This window comes from Homo sapiens, chromosome 16 (assembly GCF_000001405.40).
Source record: "Homo sapiens chromosome 16, GRCh38.p14 Primary Assembly".
Taxonomy (NCBI): domain Eukaryota; kingdom Metazoa; phylum Chordata; class Mammalia; order Primates; family Hominidae; genus Homo; species Homo sapiens.
Window position 1 is genome coordinate 55,038,799 of NC_000016.10, and position 20,594 is coordinate 55,059,392.

At 49.1% G+C, this 20,594-nt stretch overlaps 1 long non-coding RNA gene across 1 annotated transcript, besides 3 other annotated features; it reads right to left on the reverse strand.

Moving 5' to 3' along the window:
* Positions 264-1,463: an enhancer, noted in NCBI's record as "CDK7 strongly-dependent group 2 enhancer chr16:55072974-55074173 (GRCh37/hg19 assembly coordinates)". NCBI's record gives its function as "activates an origin of replication core promoter dependent on BRD2, BRD4, P300/CBP, MED14 and CDK7 cofactors, with strong dependence on CDK7, by STARR-seq in HCT116 cells {active_cell/tissue: HCT116}" and the evidence as "EXISTENCE:reporter gene assay evidence [ECO:0000049][PMID:35650434]".
* Positions 4,200-10,504, reverse strand: LOC105371278 (uncharacterized). Its single transcript, XR_933599.1, has 3 exons — positions 10,469-10,504; positions 8,101-8,202; positions 4,200-4,274 (listed from the first exon to the last, which is right to left on the reverse strand). It is a non-coding gene; the product is annotated as an uncharacterized LOC105371278 (long non-coding RNA).
* Positions 6,527-7,719: an enhancer, noted in NCBI's record as "VISTA enhancer hs27". NCBI's record gives its function as "enhancer in: limb[4/6] | eye[4/6]" and the evidence as "EXISTENCE:transgenic organism evidence [ECO:0001131][PMID:17130149]".
* Positions 17,889-18,388: an enhancer, noted in NCBI's record as "H3K4me1 hESC enhancer chr16:55090599-55091098 (GRCh37/hg19 assembly coordinates)". NCBI's record gives its function as "activates a minimal SCP1, AML or CMV promoter by ChIP-STARR-seq in primed H9 embryonic stem cells {active_cell/tissue: H9 hESC(primed)}" and the evidence as "EXISTENCE:reporter gene assay evidence [ECO:0000049][PMID:30033119]".

Genomic DNA, 20,594 nt, shown 5'->3' on the forward strand with positions numbered 1-20,594 from the left:
TCTGTTTATCACATGGCAGCTATTGTATAGATCCAGCAAGAAGACTGGGGGAACTTATTTAGCTGGATCACCGGGAAAAGTAACCAAATCACTTACCCTCTCAAAGGATATTTGCTAAATTTGTCCATCTTCTTGTCTTCATCATTCACTCATTCCACAGGCATTTAGGGGGCACTCACTAAATGGCATCACCTGTATCAGGTTCAGGGAATCTGCGATATGTAAGATCTGATTCTTGCCTGTTAGGAATTTATAGCTAATGGGAGAATTTGGGCATGAAAACAATATAACAACCCCATAAGGTAATAAGGGACAATGAGTTCTATGTGCCCAGCTCAGTGGCAGGCACAAAATATGTGTGTGTGTGTGTGTGTGTGTGCATGCTTGTGCATGTGTGTGTGTGCATCTGTACATGTGTAATGGATGGGAGAAATCAAAGGATGCATGCTGCGGGGCGTTTGCCACGTGTTTACGTGGATTTGACAGCCGTTTTGCCTGACTTCCAATCCTGGCTTAGGTGTTTTATCAGCTCTGGGACCTTGCGAGTATCTCTCCATCTCTCTGAGCTTCAGTTTTCTTATCCATAAAATTGGGCTAATGATTGCAATTTCTTGGGAATTTTTGTGCCAACACTTTATTATCCCAGTGAGTTTTTTTTAAGAAGATCAAGTATGCAGAGATGGTGCACAATCAAGAAATTTCTGTAGATGCCCCGGAAGCCAAATCTCTGTCCTGAAGGCCAATCCAATATAATGACAATTTCAGTTGTTGATTTTTGAGCACTTAGTTACAATCCAGGCGCTATTCTAGGTGCTTTACATAGGTCATCTCTCTGGATGAGTCAAATCCTGGGAATCCGGGGACAGGTTAGGAATTGTTTTGGACTGAGCACCCCATGAGTGACTCAGACAGGAAAGTGCTCTTCACTTTTAGGGGAAGGCCTCGGAGAGAGCCCGAGGGGTTGTCTATGGCTTCAGTACCTCAACGCAAGAGGACACTGCTGACCAGCTGCATTGGAGTCACCTGGAAGCTTGTTAGAAATGCATAATTTCACCCCCTCTACATCTGTGGAATCAGAATCTACATTTTAAGAAGTCCTGCATATTATGTTTGAGAAGCACTATTCCAGTACATTCTCCGTTGCAGCCCAGGACCCCCTTTCTTTCACCCCTCTTGCCTCTGTCCAGCCATGGGCACTTCCTATCTGTGACTTCCACCCCACCACGGGTAGCTCTTCCCATGGGTCCTGCTTGTTTTCAAGTCTACATTGCAGGACCAGGGTAGGTGTGGAAGCCTTGGGGCTAGGGGGCTATCAGGAGGTCAGCAGCACAGCAACTCCCCCCACAGCCTGGAGGGAACGGCACTGGGCCTGGGGTCCATCCAAGGGTAGGCCTTACTCTGTTCGGGATGCAAGGCATGGTGCTACATCCTCGCCTGGCAATGGATGCCTTTAACCTCCTCATTCCCACCCCGGGAAGTAGGCACTGCTTTGTTCTCACTTTACAGATGAGAAGACGAAAGCGCTAAGAAGTTACATTCTTGCCCACGGGGACTCAGCAGCAGAGCCTAATTCAAGCCCAGGTCACACTGTTACAAGCACTAATCATTAGGCAGCATAGCCCCATCTCCCACCCATCTCCCACCCAGCTTCTCTTCCAATGTCCAGGACTAAACTGCAGGAAGCAGCCCCTCCCACCTTTCCTAGCTTTGGCCTTTTTTGGGCAGGAGTTCCATGCAAATGGTCCTTCCTCTGCCAGAGACTGGTGGACTGAGCCTCGTTCAGGGTGCGGGCAGTGCCTGGCATGCGCTGGTGGGCAGCGGCAAAAGCTGAAGCCCAGCCCCCTCCGTCAGCACTTTTGCTGTCCCCCCAGCCCTCCCCATCCCAGTAATTAAGTAAGTCTCTGGAAGAGGAGCCTGTACAGTATGTCATAAAATCTCTCTGAACTACCTATATTTACCCCTGAAAGTGAATTCTTTATAAGACCCAGGATATCAAAGCGGCCGGGGATCAAAGTCGTTTTAATAAGCCAGCCGAGTGTGCCTGCCCAGCCTGGCCTCCTCCCGCTGCCCTCCTTGGAAGGCACTTAGGACGCCCCTTGGGCCGCATTGTCACTCTGATTCCTCACTGCACACGCCTTTAGGGGAACAAAAACGCCCGCCCCTCTCATTCCCAGGGCCCTGCCCACCCTGTCATGCACAGGCTGTGTGTGTTCCGCATTGGTGTGTTTGCAGTGCCTGGAAGTAACATCAATAACAAGGCACGGGTCACGATGTGCTGGGAGGGTCGGAGCCAGGTGTTGCAAACTGGCCCACCATTGCCTCTAGTCCACACAGAGCCAAAAAAGAGTGAATTAGGTGCAGCTTTAAAAATTGGAACAAAGTCAGGAAAAATGGTTCCCTTGGGGTTGGTTCCTGGAAAGGGGTTGAGGAAGGCTTTTGGTGTGCTGGTCACCTCCTGTTGTTGATTTGGGTGTTAGTTACATGAGTGTGTTCGGTTTAAGAAAATTCATCAAGCTGGATAATTAAGATGTGTGTACTTTTCTGTATGTGTGTTATATTTCAGAAAAAATATTTTAAAAGCCTGAACATTTCAAATACAATTCCGCTTGTCCAGATTCTAAGGAGATCTGGTCACCCTGGACTGAATTCCCACATGACCGAAATCAGTGGGAGCTAAGTCATGGCTGCTGCCCAGAGTGGGAGAGGTGGGCTTCTCCCAGTCCCTGCCCAAACCACCTCACACATCTATACCACCTGCCTGCCCTTGGAGGAATTTCAGTTTGAGATCCCTGGTCTAGTTCAACCCTTTCATTGTACTAATGGGGAAACTGAGACCCAAAGGGAGAGAGACAGTAAGTTGATACCAGACCCAATGTTTAGCTGTTGATTTAGACTTGTTGTCACACATCAGGTGTTGGCAAACGATGGCCTGCTGCTTGTTTTGTAAATAAAGTTTTATTGGAATCTGTGATGTCCATTCATGGATGTATTGTCTATGGCTGCTTCTGTGCTATCATGGCTGAGCTGAGTGGTTAAGACTGAGACTGTATGTGGCCAACAAAGCCCAAAATACTGACCTTTTGGACCTTTACAGAAGAAATTGAACTCTGCCTTACATGATAATGCTTCCTATATCATGGACCAGCAGCAAGTAAAATGAAACCCAGTTCCCCATTCAATCAAGACGTCTATTCAATGACTCCTGTCTTCAGTGCCATGCTGAACTTAGGATGGGCCTGCCTCTCTAGATGGGAGCTAAGATATGTATGGTAGGGTGGTCAGGGACCTGGGTTCTCTGCCACTAAGGAGCAGTGTGGCTTTGGGAAGGGGTCTTAACTTCTCTGGACCTCAGTGCAGCCCACGTGCTGCCCCTGTAGTGTTGTTGAGAAAATCCTGAGAGCTGATGGGACTGAAAGTGCTTTGGAGGTTCTAAGGTTAAAGGGGTGGTGATGATTCCAATGGTAATAACACTATTATCTAATAGTTCCATGAACTGGGCTTAGCGTTTCTGACGGACTATCTTATTTCATACTCACAACAAATCTTTGAGGTAGGTTACTATTATTGTGCCCATTTTACAGATAAGGAAACTGATTCATTTAAGACTTCAAGAGGTTCAGTCAGTCCACAAAAATTTATTGAGCGCCTTTTAGATTCCACCCTCTGCCACTATGTTTTTGGCTCTAGGAATAGAACAGTGAACAAAACAGAGACGCATGAAGCCCTTCTAATAAATCAACTTGCCCAAGGTCACACAGTTAGAGAGCGTGGCGCTGATATTTGAACTTAGCTTTGTCTCTGTGAGTAGACTCGACTCTCTTGTTGAAGGGCAACGATCATGTCTGAGAAGGAGCAAGGAGAAATGAAGGCCAGAGACCTGGGACCTTGGCCCTGGGCCACCTCTCCAGGCTACTCCCAGTTCAAACCCGATGACCTGTATCTAGAGCTCACACCTGGATGCTGCCTTCAGGAGGCCCCTGGAGAGCTCCCAGGAGCTGAGCAGCTCTGTTCAGTCATCTTGTTGCTTGGGGACCTGGAAACATGTCAAGTGGACTGCTCTCGAGGCTGAGTCCAGCCACAGGCCGCACAGTTGGGAAGCTGTTTGAGGCCTTCTCAAGGTGAAGAATCATCCCCTACTTGCTTCCCAGTGACCCAAGAGAGCCTGCAGGGAGGCTCTGGGCCTTGGTACTTCTTGGGGACTTGAGCTGTGTGGGGTGTCCACAAATCGAGTGATAGAGAATCTTGACACTGGGGCCTTGAACATGGCTTCTCCACTGTGAAGAGTAGGAAGGATGGAACTTGAGCCCAGGGGCTGGGGATGAGCAGGTCCCACACCCCAAGACCTTGTTCAAAGGCCCCCACTTGGGGAGAAGCTGCCCCCAGTGCTGTTGCCTCTGCGCCGACTCTTGCACCTACCACGAGGCTCCCGGCTCACCCCAGGGCATCACCAGAGGGGGCTCGGAGTCTCCTTCCCTCTGAGACTGTCAGTTCCTGGGACACAGGGATAGGGCTGAAGGCACTTTGGGTCCCCCATGCCAGCACACAGCCTGGCCCAGTGAGGGGCAGATGTGCTGAGTAAACAAAGCTTGTTTTTTTGTTTTTTGTTTTTTTTCTGGGTCTCCAGCCAACTCTTGGCTTTGGGAAAGGAGGAGTGGGGGCTTGTGCAGTGGGGTGGCTGGTGGGAGTAGCTTGTTCATGGCTGGGAACACTTTCTGTCTCAGGCTCCTCTGCCTGCCCTGAGGTTTGTAGGGAGCCCCAGAAACCTCCCCAAAGTCATCCCACCCACTTCCTGGGCCTAGGAAGGGAGAGAGTTGGGTACAGCCCCTTTCACAATACCCTGAGGGGTCAAGCAAAGGGGCTTGGAGAAGCCCAGGGGGACAGCAGTAGCTCCTCCTTGTGGCAAGAAGAGAGGAGAGAAAAGGAAGGACTGAGGGCTCCGGAGGAGGCCCTCACCAAGGAGACCCAGGTGTTAGTGACAGCTGGCCCATGCTGGGTCCTCACCACGTAGCAGGCACTATCTTAGGCACTTTACCTCCACTCAGGTATTTAAACCTCACTGCAAACCTGCAAAGAAAGGGTTAATAATATCTCTTTCTCACGGATGAAGAAACTGAGGATCAGAGATGTTATGTAGCTTGCCCAAGCCACACAGCTACAAATTGGGAGGTCCAGGATCTGGCTTCAGAGCCTGGTAGTCCCCCTCCCCAAACACACACACACACACACACAATCCCAGCCAGTAGCTGATCAGATCTTCACAAAACTCAAGGACCTGATCAAATCAACATTTTTCTTCAGAGCCAAGGCTAAGGAGTTTTGTTGAAGGGCAATGACGGCATGAGAGGAGGAGAGAAGAGGAACGAAGGCCAGAGACCTGGGACGTTGGTCCCTGCCACCTCTCCTGGCTTCTCCCAGCTCAATCCCAATGACCCACATCTAGAGCTTGCACCTGGAGGCCCCTGGAGAGCTCCTAGGAGCTGAGCAGCTCTGTTGGGTCATCTTGTTGGTAGGGCATCTGGAAATAAGGCGAGAAACTGAAGGAGGCGCTCACTCTCAGTGGCTGCCTCTGCACTTGCATAAGCACCCGAGTGAGAGCTGCCTTAAATTTTCTAAGTGACTGTGCTTCCATTGCCCCACCCTCATCCCAGCCCTTTCATAAGTGAGGAAACCAAGGCTTTGACGGAGGATGTGACGTGCTCAGGAGCACAAAAGCCTGACACTGGCATTGCCGGGAAGCAGGGGGGTGCCTAGGTCCCCACCAGCGTCTTGACCACAGTGATTGACAGATGCTTAAACAGGTCTCTCCCAAGCCATCTCTCCTGGGATTCCAGCCTCCACCCCTCCATCTAGGGTATATCCCTCCCTCTCCTGCAGAGCCAGTGCAGGTTCTGGCCCTGTCTCCTTTCAGTCTCCTCTTGCCAGATTCCAGCTGCAGGGACTGTTCTCAGGCTTAAAGTAGGGAGCACAGCTGGTTGAGGTTAGACTCAAAGCATGAAGTCCTCAACCCGAATTTCTCCCTCCACCCGCCTCTCCACCCTTTTTCCCAGTTCCCAGACAAACGCCTGGAGAGGGCACTGGCAATGAGCCAAGGAGACCAAGGAGGCAGGAACTCCAGACAGCACATCCTTTTCTCAGAGCTCAGTGGACCCTCTCAGATTCTTGAAGACCAACGTCATCTAGGGATCAGTATGCCCATTTAACAGATAAGGTCATCGAGGCTTCCACAGAGACAGTGCACCACCCAGGGACACCAGCATGATGGTGTTTCAGCATGAGCTGGGATCCAGCCCGCCTGATCCATCCTTTTTCTTGGGAAACGAGGGAGAGTGGAAAATACTTCCTCATGCCTCCGTGATAAGTGTGTGTGGATCTCATTTGAACCCCTTCTAGATCAAAGTGCGAGTTTTCCCTGGTTAAGCTTTAAAAAATGACTTTTGGGTTTTCAAAAGAAAATGCTCTGCTGACTTATACATCAATAGCTCACTTAAATCTTAGGGAATTGCACTATTAACATTTTTTTCCCTCCTTTTTACTGGTCCTCCTCCAATTCTTACTACTCTGGATCCCAGGGGGCAGAGCCCAGGTACCTCCAGGCCCTCTGCTCTCCATGTTGGAAAGGGGCCGGAGGAATAGTGCAATGCTCTATGGGGGAAGACGCTCTTCCCAGGGGGTTCCCCTGGGATCTTCACCGGGGCTGTGGCATGGGGCCTGTTGTTCTGGGGAAGCCAAAGCTAGTGTCTGCTCAGAAAAGGGAGCATGATGGTCCCACAGGGTAGCTGATGGAACCTCCTGCTGTAGGTTTGCAAGGGCTGGATGAAGATTGGGAAACAGTTCCCTAACAGGGACCATAATGAGACTGCAAGATACAGAGGGAGTCCCACAGCATAAATAGGCCAACACATTTGTTCATTTCTCCTTCTTGAAATTTCCTTTGCAATATCCGCCCCCACCCCTCAAAATGGGAAAAATTGTAAAAAATGATAAATTGGGGTTTTGTGTGTGTGTCTTGTTTTAAACCAATATGATCTCAATTCTTTTGTGGGCTTTGAAAGTCCGTGCGGGAATTCCCCCCTCGCTGTAAATACCCAGCGTCCGGGCCTTATGGCATGTGATCTGTAATAAACTTCAAAAGAACACCTTTGACATTTTAGATAACTTGCAAATGATGATGCAGAGAGATCTTTTGCCACTACAAAGAAAGAACAAAAGAACCGACATGAAAGAGAAATCAATAAACATATGGCAATTAATAAAACATTTTCTATGAATACCCTACAAAGAGTTTTACAACAGTATAAAAACCCAACAGTTGTTTCAATGTGGATTTAAGAAGTCTCAGCTGGCGTATTAAGGCATCCGTGCTGAGCAGCACACGGGAAGGCCCAGAAAAACTGGGGCCAAGTCTGGGCTTGTAAATCCATCAGAGGGAGAGGTATAGATCAGATGGATAGTTGGACTGGAAAGGGGCCGGAGGAATGGAGCAATGTATTCCTGTTTCAGGGACTAAAAATGCAAGGTGGGAACCACTGGTGAACACACCCGTTTGGAAGTTGGGCTGGGTCCCTGCAACCTCATCAGCTAAGCCAAGGTACAGTCACATTCTCAGAGATGGGCTCTGTAGCATGCCCAGAGACTTCCAGCTTCTCCATGTCCAATCTCTGCCAGCTTTCAATTGTGTCCAGCCTGGGGCCACAGTGAGATTCAGTACGTGGAGGTTTTTAATAATCAGTAAGGTGTGGGCACTGCCCGATCAGAAAGGAACCAGCTATACATACCCACAGATTGATTGTGAGCCCTGCTGAATTCTCAGCTGCAGCTTCTATGATGTTTCTTTCTTACCCCGGGTCCCGAGTTCGATTCCTGCCTCTGCCACTTCCAGCTCACTGAGTGGATTCTTTGGATCCCTTTGGCCTCTGTTTCCCCTTCCGTACAATAGGGCCAATGCTGTCTGCCCATTCCCTCTCCAAGGCTTATTCGGTGTTAATAGACATTAGTGTGACCCTCAGAGCTGTGTGCTTTTGGAAGTGGGTGAAGAGAAAAAGGCCCACTTTCAGCCTGGCTGTGTTGGGGCCATGCAATTTATCTGCACCTCCTCCCTACCTCATCCTCCTCCTTAGGTGGTCTTCATGGATTCATCTGTGTTTAGAAAATACCAGAGTCTTCTAGCCCTTTGTGCATTTTGAAGTTTCTGCTTGACATCCCCTGCAAATCAAATGGGGTGAAAGACTCCTTTGAGGCTGGAGCTGGTGGCATCTCCAGCGTATCTCCCTGGAAATTGTAAAGCTTAGGCTGGTGGGTGGGGCTTCTTTGGAAAACTTGGAGGAGAGTTAGAACTAGGCAGCCTGTGGTAGTTTGACACAGAGATAGCGCAACAAACAGACCGGAGGACACGAGGAGGGCAGAGGAAAAATGAGGCAGATGCTCAGAGGCATTCCTCTCTGTGAGTGTGTTCTTGTGCAGGGAATTGTGTGTTTGACTGCATGCATGTGTGTGTGTGTGTGTGTGTGTGTGTGTTGTCTCAAAAGAAGCAGCCTGGTTGAGCAGAAAGGCAGAAAGTATTTGACCACTGGGTTAAAATCTTTTGTGACCTTGGCTGAGATTTTTTTTAACATCTCTGGGATTTTGTCTCCCCGTCTGTAAAATGGATGCTAGATTACAAACATCACAGCTTTTCATAACAATTAATGATCTAAAGGGTCCAAGATAGACTTCACTGTGCTGCCGCTATGAGTGATGGTGATGTCATCAATGATGGCGGGCTGATGGGCTGCCCTTCCTTTGTATGGGAAGGTGGTCTGGCCTGGATCTGCCCTCCCATGTTCCTTTGACTTCTTTGTCCCAGCGCATTAACTTTTGCTCACATATGGCAGTATAGAATCCCCAAGTCAGAGGTTGTAGCACTCCATCTGCCTCCCAATAGCAGCCTCTACCCCTCTCCGCCCACCAGTGCCCCTCACATCTCCCATAACTGGGAATAGCCTTCTAGTTTTGACCTTCATGCTTCTAAATCGGTGTGCTCACTACTTTCCGAGGTAGGCTTCCCTGTTCTGGACAGCTTTAAATGGTAGAAAGCTCTTCCTTATGCTGGGCTGAAATCTTTCTCCTTTGTCTTGGTGGTTCTCAGTCCCAGCTGCACCTTAGAATCAGCTGAGATGAACCAGAAATGCTGAATCAGAACCTCTTGGGAGGGGTCCCGGAATGGGTCTTTTTAAAGCCTCCCGGGTGATTGTTGTATGCAGCCAGATGGAGAGCCATTGCTACAACCACTGGCTCACTGGATAGGATGACCAGGGGTCCTCTTGGAAGTCTCCACTGGGGTAGGGAGGAGTCCCCTCGGGGAAGGGTCCCCAGCAGACTCAGGATCTAGACTGGAATCCATCGCTGCTCCTGAACACAGCTGGGCAAATCTTATGGAAGGGGCACTACTGCAGGGCAATTGCTTTGCACAGTGTGCCCACTGGCCCTCAGCTTTCATGTCACGGGAGACATGTGTTGGAAACACACATCCCCAGGCCGCACCCGAGCCCCAGTAAATCAGAATCAGTGGTGGTAGGGCCGCAGAAAGTGGCATTTTTAATCTGGCTTTTCCCCACAAAGGGATTCTTTGCACATTAAAATCCAAGAAACCATTCTCTGGGTTAAAAGCAATGGCTTTGGGATCAAAGGGATCTTTGAATCTCAGCTTCACCACTTTTCATCACTTTGGGAGAATCACTGAACAATTCTAGGCCTTAGTGTCTTCATCTGTAAAGTGGGGTTAATTGTATCTACCTTACAGGGTTAATCCAAAGATTAGAGGAACTGATGAATATAAAATACACAGCCCTGACATGATTCATAGTAAGTGCTCAATATAAGGGAGAAAATAATAATTGTTATTACTATGAATAATAATGATGGTGGCTGTTGTCAGGCTTTTCTCTTTCCTTGCTTTACTTCAGAGCACCTAGAGTCCCTCGGGGAAGCTCGAGGTGGTGGAAGCTATGCAGAATTTGAGGACAGGAACAAGAAACCAAGGGTTTCCTTTGCTCCTTTTGGATCCGGACAGAGAAACTGACTGCTTTTTGCTGGATTGGGGACTCAGCTGCAGTTCTGGCCCCTAAGCAGCTTTCTCTACAGCCCCCTTGAGGTAGTGACGGTACTGGCCAGAGAAACTCTAGCCTCAGCTTGTGGAGCCCCCTGAGATGGCCTGTCCTTCCCTGAGGGCTTTACCCCTACCCCCATGACTTCTAGCAGGAGGCCTGGCCTCAAGCCAACCAAATAAGGAGGTGGCATTGGGACAGTAGTGACAGTCCCCAGAGCCCATCAGATTCATACCAAACTTCAGACTTGGCCACAGCGTTTTCCATTTTCAGAATTCAGCAGAAGCTCTCCTAACCAAGCTTTTTCTAACTTGTCAGATTAGCCAGTATCATTCATTCTTTCTGCAGGTAGCCTGGTTACTGCTCACTGAAGGCCCAATGCTCACCTGGCCCATCACTTCTGAGTGCACACGCACACCTGTGTTCCATGGTGGAGCTGGCGAATCCATCCCAAGGGGGTTAAGCTTTTATGCCAGTTGTGCTTGTTATTGTGATGACATAAATGCATTAAATATTACATGAACCAATGAAATGGGAGTGCAAGACCAAGGAGGTGAATGCTTTGGAAGTCTCAGTATAGGGAATATTCTAAAGAAAAGGTACCGTCATATTAGAATGGAGCAAAATAACTACAAAAGACCATGAAAATGGTCAATATCTGGGTATATTCAGCATTCACACTGCTTTGCACATGCACGGAAGTTCTCACTCACATGGAAGAGAAGTAGAAATTGTAAGTGAGATGTTATGAGTTTCATTCATGTAAGAATGATTACCAGCTGGGCGCAGTGGCTCACGCCTGTAATCCCAGTACTTTGGGAGGCCGAGGTGGGAGGATCACAAGGTCAGGAGATCGAGACCATCCTGGCCAACATGATGAAACCCCATCTCTACTAAAAATACAAAAAAAAAAAAAAATCAGCTGGGCATGGTGGCGTGTGCCTGTAATCCCAGCTACTCGGGAGGCTGAGGCAGGAGAATCGCTTGAACCAGGGAGTCGGAGGCTGCAGTGAGCAAGATCGTGCCACTGCACTCCAGCCTGGCGACAGAGTGAGACTCCGTCTAAAAAAAAGAAAAAAAAGAAGAATGATTACCTGGAACTCCAGTTGGAGAGGTCATTCTCGAATTGCCCTGGTCCTATGTGAAAAAAAGTCAGTGAATGCTCATTCATTTATCATATTTAAGTTAAAATAAAACGCCTAGAGCAGATAAGTACATATTGTTTCTAGTGAGTTTATACTTTAACTTTCAGTTTTGATTACTTGAATTCCTACCTGGCTGGTCGTTTAAGATGCATCTCCTGTTTCTCTTCAGATCAGCTGGATTTAGTTTGCTAACCTATCTTACAGAGGAGAACATAGAAGCTAAGCAACACAAAATAGCTTGCCCACAGTCTCAGAGCTGGTCCATGTTTAGCTGGATCCTGCTCCTTTGCTCACATGGTATGGGGAAGTCTAAGATGATCCCCAAGATACCTGTCTCCAGTGTACCTGCCCCAGGGAGTAGGGGAAGAGCCTGGGGTTTCACTCCTATACTGAGATTACTAATCAGCTGACTTTGAGTTAACCAAAGGGTGATTATCCTGGTGGGCCTGACCTAATCAAGAATAAAGGTCAGCAAGATATTTCTCCTGCTGGCTTCAGAGAACATGAACACTACCGAGTTCTACAGCTTCAAGAAAGTGTATTCTGCCAGCAATCTGAATGAGCTTAGAACGGTGGCCTGAGAATCAAATGAGGCCTACCCTGGCCAACACCTTGGTAGAGATCTTGTAAAACCAGAGCAGAGGGATCCAGTTGATCCATGCTCAGACACCTGATTCATGAAAACTATGATAATTTGTGTTATTTTAAGATGCTGTCCTTACAAAGTGATCTGTTACAAAGCAATACAAAATGACTACGGCCCCCAAGACCCCAAATACAATGCACTTTACCCCCAGCCTGCCCACCGGATAGAACTTTCTGGCTTTGGAGGACAGCGGTGGGCTGTCCCCATAAGGATAGCCCCATCCAAGGTGACTTCTTACTTCTGGAGTGATGTCTTGCTTTTATTCCAGGCAAATTAATTTCCCATATGAAATTCAGTTTAAGTAAATTATTAGAAAGAAAAGTGCCCTCCTCCTTCCCACTCCAAGGGAAGGGCACTTGCATTAGCTCCTGTTTTTGAATTAAACATCAATAAAATGTCTTGTCATTAGTGTTATTTCGGATAGAGCTTTTGTAAATTTCATACTCTGTAAGATCTTCTTCCGCCTAATAAGTTTACTTTTTCCAAGGTGTTCAGATTCCTTGCACCCCCACCCCCGTCTCTCAAATACAGAAACTCGGCCTCTAATTGCCAGTCCCAGCTCAGCCCCTGGGCCCTGCTTTTAAAAATGAAAGTGCCTGAAAAGGAACCACTTGAAACCATTTATTAGCTGCTTTGGGTGTCTTTTTCCCCCTTTGGGGAGAAGGGAGGTCTCTGCTGTTTCTACCAGACTGAAGAGCTAAGGGCAGAGACAAGCTTTTATTTATTTTGCTACTCCTGGTTTCTAGCATAAGGCCTGACAAGTCAGAGATGAACAGAAAATGTTTGCAGAAGGAAGACAGGGAGGAGGGGAAGAAGGAAAAAAGAAAAATGAAGAAAGGAGGGAAGGAAGTGGGGAGGGAAGGCGGGGAGGAGGGAAGGCAGATAACGGCTCCTCATGGTGACATGCACACAGCACTCACAGCATCTGTACCAGGTGCTCCATCCACATCCCCAGCCCACCCAAAAGTCACTGCAGACCATCCTGGCCGATCTTTGAGCTAAGTGAAGCTTTCTGCTTGAGGGCAATTTCCTGGCTGCGGGAGTGTTCTCAGACCACATTCAGGGCAGCTGCAAGTGCCAAGGAGTTAATGCCAGAGGAGCAGCTCTCCATGAATGAGCGATGGGAATCAGTGGCTACATACACCTGCCCCCAGGTGGGGTGATTCCGAGTTATGTGATACAGTCTCCAGAAGCTCCCCAGAAAGAATGAGCCCCCAGTGCCTTGTGGTAACCCTCTCGGTACTGCCCCTTCATTGGATTTCCACCTTCCCTGTCTCACTCCCCAGCTCACTCACTGGACTTCCTGGCATCACCTACCAAATAAACTCCTTGCACCCATCTTGTCTCAGCCCCCTCTTGGGGGAGGCCAAACAAAAACCACCTTTATTGCCCTACCCATGCCTGTGGCAGACATCACTAATCAATCACATTGCTTGTTCCTTTTAGACTCAGACGAGGCTTCAGAATCCTTCCCTACACAATGACCTGTGCAGTCACGATTAATCATCCCATGGAACAATGGACTCTACTATAAAAATTCCATCCCTAGATCTTTTCTCATGGGGTTAGTGGTAACCACTGTCCAGAAACAGTGCTACAACAGACTCTCAACCTGCTGAGGGAAATATAACACATAGCCACATTTTATGATAAATGACCCTTTATCTAAGGTATTTAGTGTGGAAAAATAAAGTAATAATGACGACACACATAGGCATTGAGGATTTACTCTGCACCAGCCACTGTTCTAGGTACTTCACATGGAATAATATATTTAAATCTTATGATAATCTTTGAAATATATATTTTCATCATCTTTTGATAAATTGGAAAACTGAGGCACAGAGAGGTCAAGTCACTTGTCAAAGGTCACACAGCATGTCAATAGTGGAGCCTGGATTCAAAGTCAAGTTGTCACTAAATACCACCTCCAACAGTTAACCTCCATTCATCAAAGTGATAGAGAATTTCAACGTATCCTAAATTATGAGACAACACTGCCAGTTGAAGCACTGCACAGCCTGGGAGGTCCTGGACTACAGAGTGCACATGCTTTGACTGAGTTGGGGACAGCTCAGAGGGTCCGGACCACACAGTGTACCCTCTAACCACTGGGCCTCTCTGTATCCAGCTGGAGCTATGGTGCCCTCACTCTCCTCCCAGGCCCTGCCGCCCATCCGAAGAGCATCACATCTGGATGGCACATAGAGGCCAGAGGCCTAGGGATTAGGAGCCTTCCCTGGCTGGAAATGAGTCATTTCTATGCATAGCGGCAAAGCCTGGAGGCCTTCCTCCAGAAAGAAGACCGTGTGGTCACTCCCTACTTTATCTGTAAGAGGGCGGGAGAAAATGTGTTTCTGGCCTTCAGACCTCTCCACTGTCTCTCTCCAAAGCTGCTTAAAGGGAGCTCATCACCGCTTGAGACAGAGAAGGGTTGATAATGCCCTCACCAGGGCTTGGCAAGTGGTTGAACTAATTAAATGCATGTCAACTGCAGACCTCTGGCTACCTCTGAGGATAGAGCACTGGGGCCCCGCCCCAGGGTCTGAGCTGCGGGCATCAGGGCCTGGAGTTCTTGCAGACCCAGGGGCTGGCGTCAGAAAGAATGGAAGGCTGGGCTCTCACTGTAGGCCTGCAGCAACGAGGGACTTCCAGAGATAATCCCAGGCCCCAATCTAGTCCCCAAACTAGAATTACAGCTACACTTACTGAGTATTTACCTGTGCCAGGTAGTGTGCTAGGAGCTGTCCACATATCCTCTACCTAAGAGAGGCAGTTTGCACAGCGATTAGCACATGCTTGGGTTCAGATTCCAGCCCCTTAGTCGTTGTGACTTTGAGTCAGTTACTTAACCTCTCCGAGCCTCAGATTTCTTATTCCTAAAATGGGGCTCCTAATAGTTCTCGCTTCAAAGCATTCTTGTTAAAGGAGTTAATGCATATGAAGCAATTGGAATGGTTCACACACGATTGTAGCTATTTTATTGTCACTTTATTTAAATCTTCGAGGTGATTCTGGGAAGAGCTATTATTGTCCCCATTTCACAGAGGCAGAAACTGAGGGATGGAGAAGTTTGATCATTTGCTCCAAATCACACAAAGGTGGCCGGGCTTGAATAATAGTGTTGCCTGAGTCTACGAAGATAGGAAAGTCTTTCTTCCTACAGAGCCTAAGACATCTTGGGATGGAGGGGCTGGGCAGAACTCCCAGCTGGGGGCTGGTCTGAGCTGGCCTCTAGGTCCCTAAAGCCTGGGGTTCACTCTTTTTCTTTCTGGGCCTCTGAGGCCTCATTGGTGCAATGAGCAGGTCGACGGATGGGGTGTTGGACTAGATACTAGCTATGAATTGGTGCTGTTCAAGCACCATTTAGTGGAAGAGGACTGCTTAGCCCCTGGGAGCCTAGGCATGCACTAAATCACCTTGGTGACTTTGTTCAGTGTACCTCAATACCCAGCACCAACACCAGTCCATATGGTATCTTTGTGTGAACTTGATAATGGTTCCCTATCTTCAAGTAGGATTTTAGGATAAATTTCAGCTCCCACTTGCCTCCTTGGCCAGGAGCTTTTTGGCAGTGCACACACTACACAACTGCATATGGCAGCCTGGCAGATGCCTGATATTCTATGCTTAGTCTTCTTGGGGGTTAGCATGGCAGGCCCCTGGAGTATCTATAAGAAAGCAGCCATCCTGGTGGGAAGGTTGACCCAAATAGACTGAACTCTACACCATGTGGGGCTTTATTATAATGAGGTGGGGCCTAGGCAGGGGCTGAGGCAGGACGTGGCAATGTCCTGCCTCAGAGAATACTTCTGCCCTCTGTGGGCCTGTTCTGCATCTGTGCCCCAACTGTGAAGTTGCAACCAGGAGGCCTTCATTCATAGGAAAGTTCTCTATGCCTTTCTCTTGCAAGACCAGGGTGGAGCTGAGCTGGATGTTGAGGGATCCCCTCCTGGATCAGGGTCCCAGCCTCACCAGGCTTGGTCTCTCCCCCACTGTGGGACCCACACACACATCTCTCAAGCCCATTCTAAATCAGAGCTGTTGGAGTCAGAGCATGAGCCGTGAGAGGTAGTGGAGTGGACAGGAAATCTGGCTTTGAAAGCCACCATCCCACTATTCACAGGCTGCTCTTTCAGGGCTTTCTCTTGGCTTTCAATGCAGGTCTGCAGTTCCTTTGACCAACGGCAAAGCATAGAGTCAGGGTAGGAAAATGGCTGGATAAAACTTATGGGACCCAGAACACTTGCCACTTTGAGGGTCTACAGAACTGGCTCTAAGGGGCAGAGGTCAGGAGCTTTCTGTTCCAGTGGGTGGGCAGATGCCTCCCTAAGCCACTGTGGACCCCTCTTCAAGGCCCTTCTGTGAGACTCAAGTCAGGAAGGCCAGTCTGGACTTCTCATTGCTCCCACAATGACCACCTTTTCCCCACCCTGTCATTATCTTCCTAAGACGGATACAATATCAGTTGAGAATGTGTCTCCTCATTTGGGGAGAAGGTGAACGTGTTTTTATTTCTATGAATAAAGCACAGATTTAGGCAGAAATGCAGAGTTGTTTTGTTAGGGTATGAAAGTTCAATTATGTATAAAGGCTGAGGACCATTGCTGAGTAGCCAGGGGTGGACTGTGACAATTAAATATTTGTCTCAACTCCAAACCTGTTCTAGGTCAGCTTTGGGCTGCCAGGGCTGGGATCCTGCAACTCTGCAAATCCTGTTTCTGGCTCCTTGTTAAGATCTGCCAATAGGGTCACTAGAGGGAGACTTTGAGGTTGGAGGAGCAAGAAGGGTCTTGCCCCTTCCTCTTTACTTCCTGTCTGCTGTGGTTCCTGCAAGCATCATCCCCGTGATGCTTCACCTCGGCAGCAGCAGTTCTCTTCTGAGGCAATGGCTGAACCTGGTTTTTAACTTTTCCATTTCTTGTAGAACAAGCCTCATTGTGCTCCCTCAGAGAAATCAATATCGGCCAACAGTGCCCCCTTCCCAGGAGTCTTCATTCTTGACTTATGGGGTGGGATCCCTCCACCAACCCCAGAGTCACCAGCACCAGCCAACTAGTGGCTCCTCCTCAGAGGTCTGGATCCCTGGCCCATGGGGCTCCATCTCTAAGCTTGCAAATTTTAGTAATCCCAACCTCCTCCCTTTATTTATTTCCACACACCTATGCATGCATGCATAACTATCCACATGCATACATGCACACATATACTGTATATGCACAACACAAACCTTTAAAACTTCACAAAGCATGTATGCATACAAACATGCATCATGTACACACACAAATGCACTATGCACACACACACGCATAATCACACAGATTCACATACACTTACATGCATCATGTTTGCATAACCATGCACTTCATATGCCCACCACACACACTGCATATGCACACCCATATACCATGTATATATGCACAAACACACCACATATGCATGCCTGTGTGTGCATAACCCCACATATGCAGGTATGAGCACACACAAACACGTATTCTGCATATACCCTCATACATGTCTGCCTATAAAGATTTAACCACACATAATTGCTTTTGCACCCCATATACACTACATGTAAACATACATGCACTGCGCAGGCATGCCCACACGAATGTGTAACCTCATACATACCCATACATGCACCATGTAAGCATATACAAACGCACCACATATGAAAGCACAGGCATGTGTGGGATTAAGCAAGCATAATCATATTTGCACAATCATACACACATAACCACACTTGTTCACATATACACACATGCCACATGTGCACACAAGCATACCTACCACAGCATATACACACAAATGCACTATGTGTATACATACAAACGGACCCCATACACATGTGAAAGCACACACATGCATGCACCACATATGCCCATGCACACACGAATGCATTGCATACGCACTCACACATGCACACCTCGCCACCCAGAGCATGCATGCCAGCAGGCGTGCACAACACACAGGCCTGCGCTCTCAGGCTCTCGCTGCCAGCCCTGCCGGGCCTGGCTGTAATTGCTCCCAGCCCCGGAGTCTGGCAAAACGCTCTTGTGGGGCGTCGGCTGCGGCCCCAGATTAATCCCATCTTTTCCCGCGCCCCAAGCGCCGAAGCCCCAGAACTGCCGCCGGCCGGGCCCATCCCCAGCCCAGGCTCGTAATCAAAAGGCAGATTTCCGCGCCGGGCACCTGTTTGCAGGGCTGCGCCTCCTTCCGCTGCGGTGTTTTATCTCGGCGCGGCGGTGAATAATTCATGGCCCCGGGTCTGCTTTGCAGTCAAACGCGCTGCGTTCTGTCCGGCGCCGCCGCCGCCGCCCGCCGGCCGCTGTGATTTATTATTTACCAACGCGCGGCCGCGCCGTGTAAGGTGAGCATTGTGGCTGCTCGCAGAACTGTTACAATCTGGCCTCGTTAGTGGCCTTTCTTGCTGCATCTCCAAACAGCGGCCCCGCTTATTGATTTTCCCGCGGAACCTCTGCCAAGAAATCCCACCGCTGCTGCTCTCAAAGCTGTTGCTATAAAGTCAGACTTGGCCCTTCTTCTCGAGAACAAGAACTCGTGTTTGGATGCGCTTTCTTCTTTTATCCATTGTGTCTTCTCCTCTGCCGAGGCGTCTCCCATTAGTGCCTCCCCCTCTGCTCCCTCCTTTCCTGGCGACGACGCTCATCTCAGCAGAGGAGATGAGGGTTTTTTAAGACAGCAGCGGGCCCGTGGGGGGAAGGTGTAGGGGCTTTCATGGTGGCAGCTGCGACAGAACCGGCCTGGGGAAAAAAGTTTTCCTGCCTTGGAAGTTTTCAAACGCGGAGAGGCTGATCTGGGTAGAGGGTGGGCTGGCTTTTCTGGCTACTCTCCCTGCTTCAGGGAAGACGTGGTCTCCCAGGACTCAGAGGAGAAGCCAGAGAAGAAAGGGCGGCTTGGGAGTGCCTACTGTGTGCCCGTCACTTGCTGGGAGGTTCAGGTTTATTTAGTCTTCAAAACAATCCCGGAGAAAAGGCCTGACACTCAGTTTACGAACAAGGAGAGGTCACAGAGCTAGCAAGAGGAGGCTCTGGGATTTGCACCCAAGGGCCTCTGCCCCCAAAATATGCTTTCTCCCAAGCCATTCTGCACCTCCCTGGGTAACATGAGGGGCAAACTGGTGTGGGCTGAGGGTGGATCCAGCATCCCAGGTCCCCAAAATGAGCATCCATTTCTTAAAGCCTAGCAAAGCCGCTCTGTGGTTGGGAGAGCCATCCCAGACATAGCCCCGTTCGCTTGGCTGCCAGGCCTGAAGTCCACCATGACAGCCACCCTTCTGAACCGAGCAGTCAAGGTTCTAAAAGGGCTTATGGTTCCATGCAGGGAAAACCTGGGATGTCCTATTTGGGTGGATCTGTGGGGGGCTCAGAGCAGATCTTCAGTTTCCTTAAAGAAGCATTTTGTATCTGGCAGTCTGACTGAGAATGTTCTCTGGGCAGGGCACCCAGAGTGGAGCAGGAGACCCTGAAGAATGCCCCCCTGGGATCCGGAGCAAATTCCACTTACTGGGCTCCACTCCCTCCTTTGCCAAGACAAAGAAACGATGCTTGCACTTTTCCTTCCTTCCCCTTAACCTGCTTTCTGCAACATGGTGGCAAAGATGAGTTTCTAGAAGTCTCCCTTGAAACTGGGGTTGGGTGGAGATAAGGAATGAACAGTGGCAGGGCTGGCTAGTAGCAAGATGAATTCCTGGGTTGACTTGGGCAGTTCTAAAATCCCTTGCAAAGGTGGAGTGCGGCAGCCATGACCAGGATGGTCCTTCATAGATGTGCGTGCTACCCTCCCGCTTGCAGACTTCTGTCAGATCACTGGGCTTCGCTTCATTTCCCTTACAATCATTTATGGGGCTCCTACCAGCACCCAGGCAATGTTCAAGCTACTTGAGAACTTGGTAATAATCAGAAGAGATATGATCTCTGTCCTCATGGATCTTCCACATTGAGTGGGAAAACAGATAATTTAAAAATCTTAAACTAATGTGTGGGTTATTGGCCACCCCCGCCCCTGCCCCTGCATCTACTGTCTGCCATTCTTCACCTTGCTCTGTGCCCAGGGAGGCTAAATTCCATGCACCACGACTCTCACGCTCACCTGGGCTCTGGCTGCTGGTGGGTTTGGCCAGTTGGAGGCTTTGGCTTGAGATTGGAGACAGGGGAGAGGATGTCCAGCTGCTTCTTCCCCAGCTTGTTCCTGCTTTGATACTGTGGTTCTGGCCCCTGGCAGGAGGGCCCTCTATCCCACCCCGGCTCTCTTTGGGATCTGGCACCACTACTCCCTGCCCTGCCTCTTTTAGGCCTAGGGAGGGTAGCAGCTTCCCATGGTCACCCATCTGTTGTATCTCAACATCCCTTACTAGTCCCCTCATTAAATTCCCTTCAAAATCCCAGCCAAGTGTGCCTTCTGTTTCCTCCCAAGACCTTGTCAGATAACAAATAAATATGTAAGATGAAATACAAATCCAGGTAAGGGGATAGATTGATGGGGATGTGGCTTTGGATAGGGTGATCAGGGACAGTTTCTCTGAAGGGAACATTTGAATGAAGACATGAAGAAAATGAGAGGTTAGCCATGGCAGTGTCTAGGAAACAGCAGCCAAAGCAGAACAGCCAGTGCAAGGGCACTGGGGTAGCAGAGCAGCCTGTGCAAGGGCCCTGGGGTAGCACAGCAGCCAGTGCAAGGGCCCTGGGGTAGCACAGCAGC